General features: G+C 43.4%; 1 protein-coding gene across 9 annotated transcripts in view, besides 5 other annotated features; it reads right to left on the minus strand.

Annotated features, from left to right (window-relative positions):
- Positions 1-3,732, minus strand: part of TRPC4AP (transient receptor potential cation channel subfamily C member 4 associated protein) — a 90,404-nt gene extending 86,672 nt beyond the window's left edge. For all 9 annotated transcript variants that reach the window (XM_047440096.1, NM_199368.2, XM_047440095.1 and 6 more), the window contains exon 1: positions 3,539-3,732. In XM_047440096.1, the coding sequence (XP_047296052.1) occupies positions 3,539-3,706 (168 nt within the window). In that variant the 5' untranslated portion in view covers positions 3,707-3,732. The remainder of the gene's footprint in view (positions 1-3,538) is intronic.
- Positions 1,418-1,977: an enhancer, noted in NCBI's record as "OCT4-NANOG hESC enhancer chr20:33678296-33678855 (GRCh37/hg19 assembly coordinates)". NCBI's record gives its function as "activates a minimal SCP1, AML or CMV promoter by ChIP-STARR-seq in naive H9 embryonic stem cells {active_cell/tissue: H9 hESC(naive)}" and the evidence as "EXISTENCE:reporter gene assay evidence [ECO:0000049][PMID:30033119]".
- Positions 3,504-3,633: a silencer, noted in NCBI's record as "silent region_12852". NCBI's record gives its function as "represses an Ori minimal core promoter by ATAC-STARR-seq in GM12878 lymphoblastoid cells {active_cell/tissue: GM12878}" and the evidence as "EXISTENCE:reporter gene assay evidence [ECO:0000049][PMID:35858748]".
- Positions 7,267-7,396: a silencer, noted in NCBI's record as "silent region_12853". NCBI's record gives its function as "represses an Ori minimal core promoter by ATAC-STARR-seq in GM12878 lymphoblastoid cells {active_cell/tissue: GM12878}" and the evidence as "EXISTENCE:reporter gene assay evidence [ECO:0000049][PMID:35858748]".
- Positions 12,283-12,784: an enhancer, noted in NCBI's record as "H3K4me1 hESC enhancer chr20:33689161-33689662 (GRCh37/hg19 assembly coordinates)". NCBI's record gives its function as "activates a minimal SCP1, AML or CMV promoter by ChIP-STARR-seq in naive H9 embryonic stem cells {active_cell/tissue: H9 hESC(naive)}" and the evidence as "EXISTENCE:reporter gene assay evidence [ECO:0000049][PMID:30033119]".
- Positions 12,785-13,284: an enhancer, noted in NCBI's record as "H3K4me1 hESC enhancer chr20:33689663-33690162 (GRCh37/hg19 assembly coordinates)". NCBI's record gives its function as "activates a minimal SCP1, AML or CMV promoter by ChIP-STARR-seq in naive H9 embryonic stem cells {active_cell/tissue: H9 hESC(naive)}" and the evidence as "EXISTENCE:reporter gene assay evidence [ECO:0000049][PMID:30033119]".

The following is a 20,811-nucleotide window of genomic DNA, read 5'->3' on the forward strand; positions in this document are numbered from 1 at the left end:
CCAGGCTGGTCTCAAACTCCTGGGCTCAAACAATCCGCTCACCTCAGCTTCCCAAAGTGTTGGGATTACAGGTGTAAGCCACCACACTGGGCCTGACCTATACACTTATAAATGGTTAAGATGGTAAATTTTATGTTTACATATATATATTTATATATGTATATAGTTTGAGGCAGGGTCTCATTCTGTTGCCCAGGCTGCAGTGTAATGGTGTGATCATGGCTCACTGCAGCCTTGACTTGCCAGGCTCAAGCGATCTTCCCACCTCGGGTTCCTGAGCAGCTGGGACTACAGGCATGCATTTCCACACCTGGTTAATGTTTTTTTTTTTTTTTTTTGTAGTAGAGCTGGGGCTCCACCACACTGCCCAGGCTTGACTCAAACTGGCTCAGGTGATCATCCCATCTTGGTCTCCCAAAGTGCTGGGATTACACACATGAGCCAATGTACCTGGCCTATATTATATATTTGTTTACTACAATGAAAAAATTTTGGCTAGGCGCAGTGGCTCACACCTGTAATCCCAGCACTTTGGGAGGACAAGGCAGGGGGATCATGACGTCAGGAGTTGGAGACCAGCCTGACCGACATGGTGAAACCCCATCTCTACTAAAAATACAAAAAGTAGCCAGGTGTGGTGGCACACGACTGTAATCCCAGCTACTCAGGAGGCTGAGGCAGAATTGCTTGAATCCGGGAGACGGAGGATGCAGTGAACCGAGATTGCGCCACTGCACTCCAGTCTGGGCAACAGAGCGAGACTCCGTCTAAAAAATAAAAAATAAAAAATGTTTAAATCTGGTCTTTTCCTACTATACCACATGCCATAACAGTATAAAAATATGGGTAATCTGGGCAACAGAGCAAAACCCTGTCTCTACCAAAGATACAAAAATTAATGGGGTGTGGTGGCACACGCCTGTAGTCCCAGCTACTAGGGAGGCTAAGGTGGGAGGATCACTTGAGCCCAGGAAGTTGAGCTTGCCACTGCACTCCAGCCTGGGTGACAGAGCAAGATTCTGTCTCAAAAAAAAAAAAGGGTAAGCAAATAACTTATTCTGCAGGATGGGAGAGAGGAGCGGAAGGGCACAGCATGGAATAAATTAAAAAAAAAAAAAACTAAGAAAAGAAATATTTGAAAGATGAAGGTCCCCATTTTATCCTCACTATAGCTCCAGGCAGGGGGTCTCTACTTCAACTTCTGAAATAGCTCCCACACCTATATACAACCATCAGTTACCACAATAACCTGCCTTGCTTTTGTGGCTCCAGAATATTCCAGCAGCCTTGTATCTGGTGAGCTTTTTTTTTTTTTTTTTGAGATGAAGTCTCACTATGTCACCCAGGCTGGAGTGCAGTGGCGTGATCTCAGCTCACAACCTCCACCTCCCAGGTTCAAGCAATTCTCCTGCCTCAGCCTCCAGAGTAGCTGGGATTACAGGTGCTTACCACCACGCCCGGCTAATTTTTGTATTTTTAGTAGAGACGGGGCTTCGCCATGTTGGCCAGGCTGGTCTCAAACTCCTGACCTCAGATGATCCACCCGCCTCGACCTCCCAAAGCACTGGGATTACAGGAATGAGCCACTGTGCCCAGCCTCTGGTGGGCTTTTCTAGGCTCCTCCCATTCTAAGTCATTCAGCACTGGAAACAAATTAAGTTGCCTAAATTGCCTCATTTATCATGCTAAAGAACTTCTGTGGCTCCCTATTATTCTCAGAACACTGATTATCAGGATGGGTGTTTAGGAACATATCATCTAACCTCTCTGAGCCTCAGTTTCCTCATCCATATTAAGAAATGAGTCTTGAAGCATAACTCAAAAGCTTGAGGATTAAAGATAACATATGCCTTGTACCGTACTTTTTCTAAAGGTTATGTGCTCACTAAAAGTTAGTCCTCTTTCTGCCTGTCTCTACACACCCAGCTCGGTAAGGTATCTTAGCTTAAGAAGGAAAGAGCAAGTATTTCTAGGATTTTTTTTTTTTTTTGAGACAGGGTCTCACTCTGTCAATCTCCGCCTCCCAGGCTCAGGTAATCCTCCCACCTCAGCCTCCCCACAGGCACACACCACCACCATGCCCGGCTAAATTTTTGGAGACACAGGATTTTGCCGTGTTGCCTGGGCTGGTCTCGAATTCCTGGATTCAAGCGATCTGCCTGCCTCGGCCTCCCAAAGTGCTGGGATTACAGGGTCTTAAGTCAGGTCTTAAGAACACAAGGGGGAAAAAGGCTGCTCATCTATGGTTGTGTGATGGCCAGGAAAACATTTCTCACTCACAACTGCTCCTTTCGTCCACAGTCCTCCATACACACAGACCCCCTAGCCTTTATTTTATTCTATCCTTTTCGTCATTTGAGGAAGTGATATTCAAATTAAATTTAAATAAAGTTACACTGTGAAAAGTCTCACTCCCATTTTCTCCCCCTTTAGCCCAATTCCCACCTCACTCCCACCAACCACTTTATCAGTTTCTTGAGTATCCTTCAAACTTTTTATGAAAAAGCTGTCTTTAAATAAAGCTAATGTTTTACAGGTGTTAGCAAGGTTCGGGGTGGGGGAGGGTGGAAGAAGTAGTGGACTAGGTCCTATTCAACCTGGTTTACCCTAAAGCAGTGTCCTTCGCTCACTCAAAAATAACAATAATCATATGTTGGGCACCTGTTATAAGTCAGATGCTTAATATTAACTACCTTCAGCCCTTAGTATGCACCAGAAATGCACTAATGCTTTACACAATTGCCCCCTTTGATCTCCACAACAATCTTAAAAGGTAGGTTACTAATTCTCATCTTCATCTTACAAGTGAGGAAACTGAGGCACAGAAAGGTCACCTGCCCAAGCAAGAGAGAGGAGCAGGGCTTTGAACCCAGGCCTGACTCCAGAGTCCCTCTTAACCGTGACGCTCTACACTAGCAAACCAGATATAGTCTCTGCACCCGCTGGAACTCAGCCTAATGTGGGAGACGGGCGAGAAAAAGGCAGACAACAAAGAAATACGAAATTATAGACTAAGAAAGTAATGTAAACGAAACGAATTCGCGGCTGTGACAGAATAACAATGGGGACCTACTTTAGAAAGGGGAAGGAAAGAGTGTCAAGGAAAGGCCTGAGAAAATGACATTTATGAAATGCTCGGGAACCATTTGGGGGCTGCAATGATGACCCCCTCCCCCACGCCCAATACACGGGATAAACTCGAGGCCCACAGAGGCTAAAACAAACACGACAGGGTCCCCCAGACGTGTAGACGTGGCGCAAAGAAGGGAGGATCCAGAAACTGGGCCCAGGGTTCGTACACGCCATCAGTGTCCACAGCAGCCCAGCCCCGCTCGGCCCCTGACAAGGGACATCAAGCCAGCTGCTTCCCACGGCCCCGCTGCAGCTGAGAGCGTCCGGGCAGCTCACAGGGAGGCCTTCCGGCCAGCCAAAAGGGCTTTGGCCCGTCCAGCGGCGGCCTGGAAAGGCCTCTTCCCCGGCCCCCCGCCAGCTCCCGCCTGGTCCGCCCCGCCCCGCCCCTCCTGGTCCAGCCTCGTACCTGCACCGCCCGGACCAGGCCCCGGCCGGTCAGCTGGCCCTGCCGCAGCTGCAGCAGAATGTTACCAGGCCGCGGCCGGCCGCCCCATCCGCCCCAAGCCGCCACTGTGGCTGCCGACCGTCTCCCTCGGCCGGCTCCAGACCCAGCCGCTACCGGCGCCGCCGCCATGTCTCCTCGTCGGACAAACAGGAAGCAAGCGGCCTCGGGGCCGCGGAGATTTCTACGGGGCGGCGGAGGGGTCGCCGCAGCGCCCCCAGTGGGCCGTCGGCGGAGGCGCAAGCCGCGTGGCAGGGACCGTGTGCGGCGTGGAGGCTACTGGGAATTGTAGTCCTGCGCGGCAGCGGGGTAGGTGGGAAAAGAGATGTGGCCTTTCCTGCACTGCCGGTTTCTCTGGCCCCCGGGCCCAGCATTTCGGCGAAATCTCCCAAGGTCCACATTCTCCCATTTCTCTCGCCGATTTGGGCAGGATGCAGGCAGCTGGCCAAGAAATGATCCTGGGCTTCAGGTCAGGAGTCAGGCCCTCGAGTCCGCTTCCTGCCTGCTTCTCTCTACACGTGACTCACCGCGGACATCGACCAAGTCATCGCGCTCTGCCACTGCGCCTGTGTCCTCGTCAGGTCACTCCATCTATAGATTCTGGGAGCCTGATCAATCGTAGTTCCTGGGGCTTTCTCTGCGCCCGACACCAAACCATGTCTAGGGGAAAGGGAGGGTGTCTGGGATACAGTGGTGAGCAGAACGGCCTGGGATCCTTTATCACGAAATGCAGGTTACAGGGGAAGACAGCAGATCCATACACAAAGAAACGCAGTCTCAAACTGGATAAGTTGTGTAACTGGGTAGGTTGTTGTGAAATTAAATAATGGAAGGGAAAGGGATTAGTAAATTGTGACATCATATTCTCTGTCAGATGAAAACCCTGTCCTAATTTCTATCCACCAGATAGCATGTTGTCTCTAATACTCATTTTTTCAGCTAACTTCTGTGGCAGGATGGCACTGACTCCCCCCACCCAACACACACACACTTTTTCCCTTCCTAGCAGGGGGCCTGTAATAAAAATGAAAGAGGAGAGCTAAGTGTGATGTAACAGGGAATGGTGAAGATTGTGACTCATAACTAAGATGACTGTAACTTACTGCTCAAACCAGAACACTTTAAAGAATGAAAAGACACAATAAATAATTACACCGGGACGGTAGGCATAAAAGTGACTCTCCCAGGTGAACTGGCACTATGGTTACCATCCTCACACCCCATCTAAAAGGAGTAGACTCACCATCCATCTTCATAGAACTAGAAAAAAGAATCCTAAAAATCATATGGAACCAAAAAAGAGCCTGCATGTCCAAAGCAAGACTAAGCAAAAAGAATAAATCTGGAGGCATCACATTACCTGACTTCAATCTATACAATAAGGCCATAGTCACCCAAACAGCATGGTACTGGTATAAAAATAGGCACATAGACCAATGGAACAGAATAGAGAACACAGTATAAAACCAAATACTTATAGCCAACTGATCTTCGATAAAGCAAACAAAAACATAAAGTGGGGAAAGGACACCCTATTCAACAGCTGGTGATAACTGGCAAGCCACATGCAGAAGAATGAAACTGGATCCTCATCTCTCACATTATACAAAAATAAACTCAGCCGGGTGCAGTGGCTCACACCTGTAATCCCAGTGGCTCACACCTGTAATCCCAGCACTTTGGGAGGCCGAGGTAGTCAGATCATGAGGTCAGGAGTTCGAGACCAGCCTGGCCAACATGGTGAAACCCCATCTCTACTAAAAATGCAAAAATTAGCTGGGCGTGGTGGCATGCACCTGTAGTCCCAGCTACTTGGGAGGCTGAGGCAGGAGAATCACTTGAACCCTGGAGACAGAGGTCACAGTGAGCCGAGATCACGCCACTGCACTCCAGTTTGATGACAGGATGAGACTCCATCTCAGAAAAAAAAAAAAAAATAGCCAAAGAAGTTACAGTCAGGAGATATTTTGTTCCCTATAGAAACTGAATATAACATCTTAAAATTTGTCCCTGAGTGTTGTTTCTTAGAAACTCGAACCCCCACCAAATGGATCTGCTGATAGGCAAACTCAGATAAGGGAGAGCTGAGAACTAAACTTTGACTTCTATTTTTTGTTATAAATTTCTTCCTAGGGGGCCTGGAGGAGGACACGACCATAAGTCAGAGCTAACATTCTTTTCTGCAGATCCCAAATTTTTAGACAAAGCTTTACCTCCTTAACCAATTACAAGTCAGAAAATCTTTGAATCCACTTGTGGGCCCCTGGTTGGAGATGTCCTGTCTTTTTAGGTGGAACCAATATACAGCCCCTATGTATTGATTTATGACTTCGCCTGTGGCCTCTGCCCTCCTGCCATTAAAAACCTGTAAGCCGGCTGGGCGCGGTGGCTCACACCTATAATCCCAGCACTTTGGGTGGCCGAGGCAGGTGGATCACCTGAGGTCAGGAGTTCGAGACCAGCCTGACCAAAACGGCAAAACCCCGTCTCTACTAAAGATACAAAAATTAGCCAGGCATGGTGGCACGTGCCTGTAATCCCAGCTACTCGGGAAGCTGAGGCAGGAGAATCGCTTGAACCCAGGAGGCAGAGGTTGCAGTGAGCTGAGATTGCACCACTGCACTCCAGCCTGGGCGACAGAGCAAGACTCTGTCTCAAAAAAATAAAATAAAACCCCTGTAAGCCATAAGGGAGTTCAGGTCTTAAGCATAAGCTGTTTGATTCTCCTCGCTTGGCACCCTGCAGCAAGTGCAATAATAAATGCCTCACTTTCTCTTGCTGTAATCCCAATGTCAGTGGCTTTGCTGCACCAGGTAAGCAGCCCTCACTTTGGTTCAATAACAATACTTTTCATAACTTTTTGCACCAGCTATGTATCATTTCTAGATTCAAGAAAAAAAAGTCTTCTAATATGTGAAATTAACTTTAAAAAGACATAAAAAGAAAAGGCATTTCCAGGGATACAAACAGGGCATTGGTGAGCTGTCCGGGCAGCAGCCAGCCTTACCAGGGAATCCACAGCCCAGGGATTCCACCCAGAGCTCTTCCTGAGGCATATGGTGATGGATATTCTCACCCTTGTCGCGGTGAGGAGACAGGATCCTGACTAATTTCACAGTTCACATGGCCCTCCAGGTTTCCCTTGGCACTCATCATGCTAGGGACAAATCTTCCCACCTCAGCTTTGACCCAACTGCAAATGTCACTTTCCATTCCTCAGTTCCTATCTTTGTCAGTCTAGCCTGGCCCAGGCATTCACCAAAGCTGGGTATTCACTGGGTCAAAAATGACAACCTCAAATTCAGTCCTTACAGATACCATGTGACCATGAAGTAAGGGGACATGTTTCCAGAAACCTCTGTGGAAAGACACTCTTTTCCACTTCACCTCTGCTCTGCCAGCCTTTTCCGTAGAAACTAGCTGAGGCTAGGCGCGGTGGCTCAGGCCTGTAATCCCAGCACTTTTGGAGGCCGAGGCGGGCAGATCACGAGGTCAGGAGTTCGAGACCAGCCTGGTCAATATGGTGAAACCCCGTCTCTACCAAAAACACAAAAATTAGCTGGGCGGGGTGAAGCGCGCCTGTAGTCCCAGCTGCCCTGGAGGCTGAGGCAGGAGAATTGCTTGAACCCGGGAGGCGGAGTTTGCAGTGAGCCGAGATCGCGCCACTGCACTCCAGCCTGGGCCACAGAGCAAGACTCTGTCTCAAAAAAAAAAAAAAAAAGCTGAGTGTCTCTCACCACCAGAGGGCGAAGTACCTCTCCCACCAGAGGTCTGTTGATGTCAATTTTAATCAGCACTAGAAAAAAAATGAAGCTCCCAAACTGGCTAATTTTTTTTCCACCGTAATCCCAAATGGCTTAACCAAACATGATGATGCTATTCAGAGAACATTAACTCTTGTAAATAAATCGCCAAACTCATCTCAATTGGGCAGACAGATTTTCTGGGACTTTTTTTTTTTTTTTTTTTTTTGAAGTCTTGCTCTGTGGCCCAGCCTGGAGTACAGTGGTGTGATTATAGCTCACTGCAGCCGCCAAGCTCCTGGGCTCAAGCAATCCTCCCGCTTCAGCCTCCCAAAGTGCTGGGATTACAGGCATGAGTCATGGCACCCTGCCAAGAAGTCACTTTAATCAAAGCAACTGGCACTGTTATATCAGGCCATGGTAACAGCTGTCCCATGCAACTATGCATTGTCCTGTGGTGTCATTTTTTACAGTGATTTTTTTTTACATTACATTTCTAATGTACAACCTCTCCATGATTTGTCTTTTAAATGTTTGTTAAGTACTATCTTATGTGCCAGGCACTGTTATAGGTGCTGTGGATATTGTGCTAAATAAAATAAACAAAATTTCCTGCCCTCATGGGGCTTATACTTCTGGGTAAGATCTACCCTTTATTGAGCACTTACCATTGGCCAAGCACTTTCTTTGCACTATCTTATTATTCTCGCAGCATTTTTGGGGAAGTTTTTCAAATCTACAGAAAGTTAAAAGATACACCATTAACACTCATATACCCTTTGCTTAGACTTGTCAGCTACTAAAACTATATTTTATCTTTCTCTCTGTGTATATATACACATATATGTACATATATGTGTATATATACATATACATATATACACATATGTACATATATGTGTATATATACATATACATATATACACACGTGTATATATACATATACATATATACACACGTGTGTATATACATATACATATATACACACGTGTGTATATACATATACATATGTACACACGTGTGTATATATACATATGTACACACGTGTGTATATATACATATGTACACACGTGTGTATATATACATATGTACACACGTGTGTATATATACATATGTACACACGTGTGTATATATACATATGTACACACGTGTGTATATATACATATGTACACACGTGTGTATATATACATATACACACGTGTGTATATATACATATACACACGTGTGTATATATACATATACACACGTGTGTATATATACATATACACACGTGTGTATATATACATATATACACGTGTGCCTATATACATATATACATGTGTGCCTATATACATATATACATATATGTGTATATATACATATATACATATGTGTATATATACATACACATATATACATATACGTACATATGTGTATATATACATATACATACATATATATGTGTATATATACATATATACACATACATATATGTATATATACATATATGTATATATACAGCTCTTTCCATATATGTATCTCTCTCTATACTTCATTTATACGTAGAGAGGGTTTGTGTTAGTTTTGCTAAACATTTTTTTTTTTTTAGACAGGGTCTCGCTCTGTTGCCCAGGCTGGAGTGCAGTGGCACGATCATAGCTCACTGTAGCCTTGGGCTCCTGGGCTCAAGGGATCCTCCCATCTCAGCCTCTCAAAGTGTTGGGATTACAGATGTGAGCCACTGCACCCATCCTGCTAAGCCATTTTTTGCTAAACCATTTGAAAGTAAATTGTAGATATTATGACACTTCACCTGCATATTTTAGAATGTATCTCCTAAGATCAAGGACATGCTCCTAAAAACTATGATACCATCACACCCAAGAAATTTAATATTGATACAATTTATCTTTTTTTAAATTTATTTATTTAAGACAGGGTTTCACTCTTTTTGCCCAGGCTGGAGTGCAATGGCACAATCTCAGCTCACCACAACCTCTGCCTCCTGGGTTCAAGCTATTGTTCTACCTCAGCCTCCCAAGTAGCTGGGATTACAGGCATGCGCCACCACACCTGGCTAATTTTGTATTTTCAGTAGAGATGGGGTTTCTCCATGTTGGTCAGGCTGGTCTCAAACTCCTGACCTCAGGTGATCCGCCTGCTTTGGCCTCCCAAAGTGCTGGGATTACAGGCATGAACCACCATGCCCAGGCTTTTTTTCTTTTTTGACATGGAGTCTTGCTTTGTAGCCCAGGCTGGAACACAGTGGTGTGATCTCGGCTTACCACAACCTCTGCCTCCCAGGTTCAAGCGATTCTCTTGCCTCAGCCTCACGAGTAGCTGAGATTACAGGCACCCACCACCACACCCAGCTGACTTTTGTATTTTTAGTAGAGATGGGGTTTCACCATGTTGGCCAGGCTGGTCTCGAACTCCTGACCTCAAGTGATCTGCCCACCTTGGCCTCTCAAACTGCTGGGATTACAGGCATGAGCCACCATGCCTGGCCATTATTTATCTTATAATCCATATTCAAATATCTGCAATTACCCCCCAAATGTCCCTTACAGTCTCTTCCCCCCAGTCCAGAGTTCAGTAAAGGATCATGCATACATTTGAAAGCTATGTCTTGTCACTGTCTTTTAATCTAGAAGAGTCCCTCATCTCTTTTGTCCTTTCGGGATATTGACAGTTTTGGGGTCCGGGCCAGTTGTACTGAATACCCTGACATCTGGATCTGCTTTATTGTTTTCTCATGATTTGGTTAGGATTAAGCTTTTATGGCTAGAATATTAAACAGGTGATGGTGTGTCTTTCCCATTGCTTCATATCAGAAAGAAATAATGTAAATGTGTCCCATTATTGATGATGCTAAGTTTGATCTGTTGGATCAAACTTAATATGTCTTCATTGGAAACATACATTTTGGGGTTAATAAGTAATCTGTGGCCTTCAAGACTACGAGACTGTCTTGTTCTCCACCCACCTTTCACCCAGTAATGTTTGTGTTTGTTTGTTTTGAGATGAAGTCTCGCTCTGTTGCCCAGGCTGGAGTGCAGTGGCGCAATCTCGGCTCACTGCAACCTTCTGTTCTTCTTCTCTTGCCTCAGCCTCCCTCCCGAGTAGCTGGGACTACAGGCACGAGCCACTTCACATTGCAAGTTTTGCTTTTTTTTTTTTTTTTTTTTTTAGTAGAGATGGGGTTTCACCATTTTGGCCAGGCTGGTCTGGAACTCCCAACCTCAGGTGATCCACCCGCCTTGGCTTCCGAAAGTACTGGGATTACAGGCGTGAGCCACCGCGCCCAGCCCCCACCCAGTAGTTTTTTTTGTTTTGTTTTGGGTTTTTTTTGTATTTTTAGTAGAGACGGGGTTTCACCATGTTAGCCAGGATGGTCTCGATCTCCTGACCTCGTGATCCACCCACCTTGGCCTCCCAAAGTGCTAGGATTACAGGTGTGAGCCACCACACCTGGCCAACCCAGTAGTTTTTATCATCCCTTGATGATCCCTCCCTGGATTATCATGCTGGTGGTTGCAAAATTGTAACTTTCTAATTCTACCATTGCTTCCTCTTTTATTAGGTAATATTCCCCCCCAAAAGGAGCTCCCGCCCTTTTTCTGGGGTATCACTATGGACTCATAAACTTTTTTTTATTTTATGTGTTATAATCCATTACTATGGTTATTCTATTTTCCCTTGGTTTTATTAGGGTATCATTTACATAAAATGAAATGCATAGATATTAGGTAATATGTAATCTGATGAATTTTGACATATGTATATACTTGTGTAACCAACACCTGAATTTAACCAATACTCCCAATGGATATAGAAATTTCCATTACTCCAGAAAGTTCTCATGCACTTGTTACTTACTAACTCCAAAGGAGAAAAATGTACCTCTCCACTGTTCTAATTTTATCATCATAGATTAATTTTGACTGTTCCATAACTTCCTATAAATGGAACCATCTAATATATAGTCTTTTGTGTTTAGCTTTTTTCACTAAGGATGATGTTTTCTAGATTCATCCATGTTGATCTGCATGTCAGTGGTTCATTCCTTTTTACTGCTGGGAAGTGTACCGTCTCAGGAAATGATAGTCCAGGGCCGGGTGCAGTGCCTCACACCTAGAATTCCAGCACTTTGGAAAGCTGAGGTACAAGAATCGCTTGAAACCAGGAGTCTCTACAAAAAATTTTAAAATGAGCTGGGCTTGGTGGCACACACTTGTAGTTCTAGCTACTTGGGAGGCTGAGGTGAGAGGACTGCTTGAGCCCAGGAGTTGGGGTCTGTAGTGAGCTATGATCCCACCACTGCACTCCAACCTGGGTGACAGTGTGAGACCCTGTCTCTGAAAAAATAAAAAAGAAGATGATACCCTAAGATAAAGGCTTCAGAAGCAGCTCTCTCTGACCGTCTCCTGCCCTTCTGTCTCTGGCCTCTTATTCTCCCCTGAGGCTAGTCATAGAAACTAGAATCCCTCTTCCCCAAGGCAGGGTTTAGAAACCAGAAACTGGCAGGGCGCAGTGGCTCACTCCTGTAATCCCAGCACTTTGGGAGGTCGATGCAGGCGGATCACCTGAGGTTAGGAGTTCGAGACCAGCCTGGCCAACATGGTGAAACCCCATCTCTACTAAAAATACAAAATTAGCCAGGTGTGGTGGTACATGCCTGTAATCCCAGATACTCTGGAGACTGAGGCAGGAGAATCGCTTGAATGTGGGAGGCGGAGGTTGCAGTGAGCCAAGATTGTGACACTGCACTCCAGCCTGGGCACTAGAGCAAAACTCCATCTCAAAAAAAAAAAAAAAAAAAAAAAGAAACCAGAAACCTTCCTCCTTCCCCTTGCCAGCGGTGAAACCAAACCTAAAAATATTACTCTAACTCCCTCCCCCTAAACCACCACACCTTTCTGTGCATAAACTGGCCATCAAGAAATTATCCAACCTACCTGGTTTGACTGTAGGTCATAAGACCCCCATTCCAGAGAGGGTCCTGCTGCACACCCGGAAGGAAGGACAAGAACAAAACTCTGTCTCAAAAAAAAAGAAAAAAAATTCTGTGTGTGTGTATTTCTCATTCTTTTTGATGCTCAAATTGTCCCAAATTTGACCATTGGTAGTCCTCTCAAATTAATTCCTGTGTCATCTTTGGGACAATCTTAATTTTAAATGGGCCCTGTGGGACTTAAACTTGTCCAACACTATGATCGGTTCTGAGTTCAGAAAATAGTCTCTCTAAATTTTTGTTCCAATCTCCACAGATGTAGATTCTTACCTCATTCCCAAAGCTAGTCACTCCTTAATCTACAACAGCCATTCTTCAGCAACACTGAAGACTCTTATGACATAAAGTTGAAACTTCTTTCCCCAAATGATGCATGCATCCGACACACAGGCAGACACACACGTGCATGCGCAGACACACAGGCAGACACACACGTGTGCGTGCGGACACACAGGCAGACACACGTGCATGCACACACACACACATTTTGCCAGTGGTTCTTGGATTGTTTACAGTGATCTCTAAATCACTGAACGCCTACTATGTATTAGAGATTGTGCTAGATGCAAAGAAATGCAAAGGGAAGAAAATAAGAAAATTAACATTTAAAAAAGACCTAGGCCCCATGTGGTGGCTCACACGTGAAATCCCAGCATTTTGGGAGGCCAAGGCAGGAGGGTCACATGAGCCCAGGAGTTGGACACAAGCCTGGGCAACATAGTGAGACCTCATCTTTACAAATATATATATATTTTTTAATTAGCCTGGCATGGTGGTGCATGCCTGTGGTCCCAGCTAGTTGGGAGGCTGAGGTGGGAGAACTGCTTGAGCCCTGGGGGCCAAGGCTGCAGTGAGCAGAGATTGCACAGTCCAGCCTGGGCAACAGAACGAGACCCCGTCTCAAAAAGAAAAAGAAAATACCTACCATGTATGTTCCGGACATTGTACTAAGTGTTTGATACATGTCATCTTAACAAAGATGCATAAAATAGAGATTTCATAAACTAACAAATTATCACAGCACACTAGAATACATACTATTGTAAATAAAGGCATGTAGTCACTGAATTACATTCATTCACCAGATATTTCTTGAAAACTTCCTATGTACAAGCTCTGCCCCAGGCGTGGGGGATACATCTGTGAATAAGACAAATGCAGCCTGTGCCTTCTAGGGCTCAAGTCTAGTGGAGGAAGGCAGACACATAAGCAATTACCATCAGAGCTCCAACCCACACAAACATTTTTAAAAACATATTATTGTAGAGACAGGTTCTCACTATGTTGCCCAGGCTTGTCTCAAACTCCTGGCCTCCAGCAATCCCCTCACCTCTGCCTTTCAAAACATTGGGATTGCAGGCGTGAGCCACTGCATCTAACCCAAAAATATGTTTCAAAAAGAAAAACAAAATCTAAAACCCACTGCCTCTGAATCTGTACTATATTCTTTGGAAGCTCCTCACAGGTGACAAATTAGCATTGTCTTATATACAACCCAAAGCCCTCTGAGCAGAGCTTGATGAATAAGTGGATAATTAATATCTTTTTTTTTTTTGAGACAGAATCTCACTCTGTCGCCAGGCTGGAGTGCAGTGGCATGATCTCAGCTCGCTGCAACCTCCAACTCCCTGGTTCAAGCGATTCTCCTGCCTCAGCTTCCCGAGTAGCTGGGATTACAGGCGTGTGCCACCATGCCATGCCCAGCTAATTTTTGTATTTTTGGTAGAGACAGGGTTTCACCATGTTGGTCAGGATCACAAGCTCCTGACCTTGTGATCCGCAGGTGCAGATAGAAAAGAAATCCCAGATTGAGTGTTGTGCTGTAATCCTAGAAAACAATCGATCAAATCAGAACAGACTCCATGAATAAAAAGAAGAGATTCCAACCAGAAATTAATGTCAGAAATTTGAAAAGGGAATATCATTTCAGATTCTTCAGCACCAAAAGATCATAAGAAGACATGATGAATAACTTTATGCCTATGTATTTGAAAATTTAAGTGGAACAGAAATATTTCTAGAAAAAAGTCTTACCTAAATGGACACAAAACATAATAGAAAATTGGAATCATCCTATAACTATTAAAGACATTTCATCTCTAATTTAAAAGGTTCCCACAAAGAAAACTCCAATCCCTAATGCCTTTGAAATCTACCACACTTTTAAGGAAGAAATAATGCCAACATCACATAATTTCTTCCAAAGGCCAGGAAAAAAGGTCACCAACCGACATGAAAGCAACATAACATTGACACCAACATAGGAGATAAGGTGCAAAAATATCTCTAATTTCATTTCATTCAGTTCAAACCGTGATACAGTTTGCCTGTGTCCCCACCCGAATCTCATTTTGAATTGTAGTTCCCATAATCCCCACATGTTGTGGGAGGGACCGGGTGGGAGGTAATTGAATCATGCGGGCAGTTACCCCCATGCTATTCTGATCATGAGTTAGTTCTCACAAAATCTGATGATTTTAGAAGGGGCTTTTCCCCCCATTCGCGCTTCACTTCTTGCTGCTGCCAGGTGAAGAAGACCTTGTTTGCTTCCCCTTCCACCATGATCATAAGTTTCCTGAGGCTTCCCCAGCTATGCGGAACTGTGAGTCAATTAAACCTCTTTCCTTTATCAATTACCCAGTTTTGAGTATGTCTTTATTGGCAGCGTGAGATTGGATTAATACAAACTGCTTTCATTAATAAAATTGCATCAATTTGTTGCAGCAATGTTGGGAACATCTAGTACCCTTGTTCTCAGTCTTGAGCTTGCATTAGAATCACCTGGAGGGGTTGGCTTTGTTAAACCAGATTGGGGGCCCATCTGTGGTCAGGGATGGGGCCCAAGAGTTTTAAATACAACAAGATCCTTGGTAATGCTGTTGCCTCTGCACCAGGGACCACTTTTGACAATCACTGACCCAGTGGCACATACTATTTTGAAATCTTGCTTGCCATAGAAGTAATGTTATTTGGAATGCTTGGACAGGCTCAGTATGTTGGAACAACTTCTAATTTAATTCTCTAAGGATGTAAAAAAAAAAATCTTGGTTAGATTGGCCAACATTGATATGATTGGCCAATTTCAATATGCTAAAGTAAATGATGTGGTCAGCTGTAATCCCTGAAAATTTGTTTTCAAGAAGTTGATTATCACTGTTTTTCCCCCAACATATATATGAATTTTAGCAGGATCCCTTTGTTTTCCTAAGATTTACAGCATATAAAAGAGTATTCCAAATAGCATTGCTTTCAGATTCTTCTAACAATTTTATAATAACTGTATTATATTTTCATTCATATTTGCTACTCTCATACAATGTCTTTATATTTGTCTGGACTAATCTGTATTGGCCAAAGTTACAATTGTCAATTCTCTGAATGCTTTTAATCCAGTTTTGTGAGAGAAGATTAACCAAACAAGAAGACCCTCCTTAAAATGTTCTTACCACTCATGTAAGATATAAGCTAAGTGTTGTGCAACTTTCAATTTGACTTTCTCTGGTTGGATTACAAAATCTATACGAGATTGTAACAGCATAATAAGCATTGTTTCCAACATTCCGCAACAGTATAGATTCAAGGAGAAACTCTATTATTGCTAAGGTATGTTTTTATGGCTTGCTACACCATAAAAACTATACACACCAAAATACATGCCAGAGAATAAATGTTTTTTTCAGGAACCATGTGAGCAATTTTTTTCTTTTGGCACATAATATGCAACCCAATACAATGATAATAAGGCTTTCTCACTGACAGTCACAACATGAATCATAAAATTTGCCTATCACATTATATATGTTTTTCTTTCTTTGGAAATATTCGAGAGACTGACTAATTCAACATGTCATGTTTCCAAGCATCTTTTAAGTTTTGATGGTTTTAAGTTCTCATTTGCAAGAACATCATTATAATGCATTGGTGTACATGTCATTTTGTTGGTTTTACACATTTCATAAAATAATACACACATATATGTATATATATATATAGAGAGAGACAGAGTTTCATAATTATCACCCAGACTAGAGACTGTGATCTCAGCTCACTGCAACCTCCGCTTCCCGGGTTCAAGTGATTCTTCTGCCTCAGCCTCCAGAGTAGCTGGGATTACAGGCGCCTGCCACCACACCTGGCTAATTTTTGTATTTTTAGTAGAGATGGGGTTTTGCCATGTTGGGCAGGCTGGTCTCAAACTCCTGATCTCAGGTGATCTGCCTGCCTTGGCCTCCCAAAGTGCTGGGATTACAGGTGTGAGCTGGCTGGGCATGGTGGCTCATGCCTGTAATCCCAGCACTTTGGGAGGCTGAGATGGGAGGATTGCTCAAGGCTAAGGGTTTGAGACCAGCCTAGTCAACATAGTGAGACCCCCATCTCTATTAAAATAAATAAATAAATACATAAATAAAGCAAATCTTGCATTTACCCTTTTTAACAAGATGCAAATGATGTCAGTCTGTTGATTAGAGTTGATATTTTCTCCAATATTTCCATTTACTCTTCCCATGTTTTTCACCTTATTATTCTTGTTCTTTGTAGCATTAAAACAGTCAACTTAAGAGCAATTTGAACTAGTTCAATTAAAATGCTACAATTATTGCACATCCAAAATTTTTTATCTGATTATAAACTTTCTGAAAAACTGCACTGCAAATTCCTAACCAAAACTCAGTTGAAAGTCATGGCAATATTGCAAAAAAAAAAAAAAAAAAAAAAAAATTCCACTCTTCAATTCACAACTAACTACAAACTATTTTGATATAAAATTAAATAATACACAGCTGGGTGTGGTGGCTCACGCCTGTAATCCCAGCACTTTGGGAGGCCAAGGCGGGTGGATCACGAGATCATGAGTTCAAGACCAGCCTGGTCAAGATGGTGAAACCCCATCTCTACTAAAAATACAAAAATTAGCCAGGCGTGGTGGCAGGTGCCTGTAATCCCAACTACTAGGAAGGCTGAGGCAGAGAATTGCTTGAACCCGGGAGGCGGAGGTTGCAGTGAGCCGAGATCGCAACACCACACTCCAGCCTGGGCAACAAGAGCAAAACTCCATCTCAAAAAAAAAAAATAAATAAATAAATAAATACTATACTATTCTGCCATTATAACTTGATGGTCATATTGACACTCATGTACCAGAAAATCAAATGAGATGACAATTCACCAAATAAACTGCTTTTAGCCAACGTGCACATTTTTCACATCCCCTCCTCTGTCTCTCCCACAATGTAATGCAATTAGCCTTGTGCGATTAGTAATGTGCTCCTGTCCTCAGTTCTTGTCAAGAATCCACACAAGGCACTCTAATATTTTCGAATCCATTCTATTTCATTATTTAAAAAGTTAGTGGGACACATTAAATTTATTTCTTGACCCACTAAAGGGTCATGAGCAAAGTCTCAAAAACACTACTGTAAGACACTAAACTATTAACTATTGCAAGGGAGTTTGTAAAAAATACAATAAACAGAATAGCTTACCTCTCTGCATGCAGAATGTTTTCTTTGCTAACTTTATTTTTCAAGGCTGGATTTATACCACACTGGGCTTGCAAACTTGCTGCTTCATGGGTTGGTGGGGAGGGGTAGGAGAGGGGTGTGTGGGGTATATATGTTTTCTTTTTTATTTTATGGTCTTTTTAAAAAATTGAGATATAATTCATACACCATAAAATTCACACTATTAAAGTACAATTCAGTGGTTTTTAGTATATTCCCAATATTGTGTAACTATCATCACTATCTAATTCCAGAACATATTAATCACCCATCAAAAAAATCCATACCCATGAAGAGTAACTCCCCATTTTCCCTGCCCCTGGTCCCTGCCAACCACTAATTTACTTCCTGTCTCCATAGATTAATCTATTCTAGATATTTTATATAAAAGGAATCACACAGTATGTGGCCTTTTATGTCTGGCTTCTTCCACTTAGCATATATTTTTAAAGGTTTATCCACGTTGCAGCATTTATCAGTAGGTCATTCCATTTAGTGGTCAAGTAATATGCCATTGTATGAATATTCCACATTTTAATCATTTGTAAGTTGATGAATGCTAGGATTGTTTCCACTTTTAGCTATTATGAATAATGCTGTTACAAACTGACGTACAAACTTTTGTGTAGACGTAATTCATTTTAGTTTTCTCTTGGGTGAGTGGAATTGCTGGGTCACATGGTAACTTAATCTTTAATTTTAATTAATTTATTTATAGGCTGAAGTGCAGTGGCGTGACCTTGGCTCACTGCAACCTCCACCCCCCAGATTCAAGCAATTCTTCTGCCTCAGCCTCCCGAGTAGCTGCAATTACAGGCGTGCGCCACCATGCCTGGCTAATTTTTTGTATTTTTAGTAGAGACGGGGTTTCGCCATGTTGGCCAGGCTGGGCAATGTTTAATTTTTGATAAGCCAATAAAGTGTTTTCCAAACCAGCTACCCCGTTTTATATCCCCGCTAGCAATGGATGAAAATTCCAGGGCTGGGCGCGGTGGCTCACGCCTGTAATCCAGCACTTTGGGAGGCTGAGGCGGGCAGATCATTTGAGCGCAGTAGTTCGAGACCAGCCTGGGCAACGTGGCAAAACCCTGTCTCTACAAAAAATAAAAAATTAGCCAGGCGTGGTGGCATGCGCCTGTGGTCCCAGCTACTTGGGAGGCTGAGGTAGGAGTATCACTTGAGCCCCAGAAGTCGAGGCTTCAGTGAGCTTTGATTGCGGCACTGCACTCCAGCCCGGGCAACAGAGTGAGAACCTGTCTCAAAAAATAATAAATAAATAAATAAATAAAAATTTTAAAAACAAAATTCCAAATTCTCCACATCCTCACTAACATCTCCCACCTCAGCCTCCCTAAAAGCTGTGACTACAAGTGCGAGCCACCATGCTCAGCTAATTTTTTTATTTTTGGTAGAGACAGGGTTTCGCCATGTTACCCAGGTCTTAAACTCCTGGACTCAAACTATCCACCCACTTTGGCCTCCCAAAGTGCTGGGATTACAGGCTTAAGCCACTGTTCCTGGCCTTTTTTTTTTAAATAAATGATTTTTAAAAATTTTTATATTGACAAGGCTGGGCGTGGTGGCTCACGCCTGTAATCCCAGCACTTTGGGAGGCTGAGGCAGGCAGATCACGAGGTCAAGAGATCGAGACCATCCTGGCCAACATGGTGAAACCCCGGCTCTACTAAAAATACAAAACTTAGCTGGGCGTGGTGGCACATGCTTGCAATCCCAGCTACTCGGGAGGCTGAGGCAGGAGAAGCACTTGAACCAGGGAGTCGGAGGTTGCAATGAGCCGGGATCGCGCCACTGTACTCCAGCCTGGCGACAGAGACTTCGTCTCAAAAAACAAACAAACAAACAAAAAAATTACATTGACAAATAAAATTAGTATATATTTATCAAGTACATGTTGTTTTGAAATATATATACATTGTGGAATGGCTAAATTGAGGTAATTAGCATATGTGATTAACTTTAGACTTTAAGGATATGTACTCGTCATAATGGTCTCTATTAGCCAGGAACCTGACAGGAAACAGATGGCTCATTCAAATTAGAAAAATTAGTGGAAGGTTTAATAAAGAGACTACTTACAAAGGTGTGGACAGAGTGTTAGAGAACCGCAAGGGAAAATACAGTAATCCTATACAGCCAATCCTATCCCTAGCCTGAAGGGAATAAGAGAATGGTTACTGTATTAGTCAGAATTACAAAACAGAACTAATGGAATATGTTTGTGTAAGGAGGGCGAGGTGGCTTACACCTGTAATCCCAGCACTTTGGGAGGCGGAGGTGGGTGGATCACCTGATGTCAGAAGTTGGAGGCCAGCCTGACTAACATGGTGAAACCTCGTCTCTACTAAATACAAAAAATTAGTCAGGCATGGTGGCAGGTGTCTGTTATCCCAGCTACTTGGGAGGCTGAGGCAGGAGAATCACTTGAACCCGGGAGGCAGAGGTTGCAGTGAGCCGAGATGGTGCCACTGCATTCCAGCTTGGGCAACAAGAGTGAAACTCCATCTCAAAAAAAAAAAAAAAAAAAAGAATATGTGTGTGTATAGAAAGAGGTTTATCATAAGGAATTGGCTCACACAGTTGCAGAGATTGGCAAGTCCAAATGTGCAGTGTGGGCTGGCAGGTTTGAAACCCAGGAAAGCCAGTGGTATAGATGAAGTCCCAGAGCGGGCTGCTGGAGAATTCCCTCTCATGTAAGGGAGAGGCCGTCTCTTCATTCTCTTCAGGCTCCAGCTGATTGAATGAGGCCCATCCACATTATGAAGGGTAATCTTCACCAATTAAAATGTTCATCTCATCCAAAAACACCCTTGCAGAAATACTCAGAATAATGTTTGACCAAATATCGGAGTACCCAGTGGTCCAGCCAGGTTGACACATAAAATTAACCACCACCTGAAAATAAAAAGTTGTGTAGAGATGGGCACCTTGGGATAAAATGATACTTTTTTTTTATTATTGTACTTTAAGTTCTAGGGTACA

This window comes from Homo sapiens, chromosome 20 (assembly GCF_000001405.40).
Source record: "Homo sapiens chromosome 20, GRCh38.p14 Primary Assembly".
In the NCBI taxonomy this organism is placed as follows: Eukaryota; Metazoa; Chordata; class Mammalia; order Primates; family Hominidae; genus Homo; species Homo sapiens.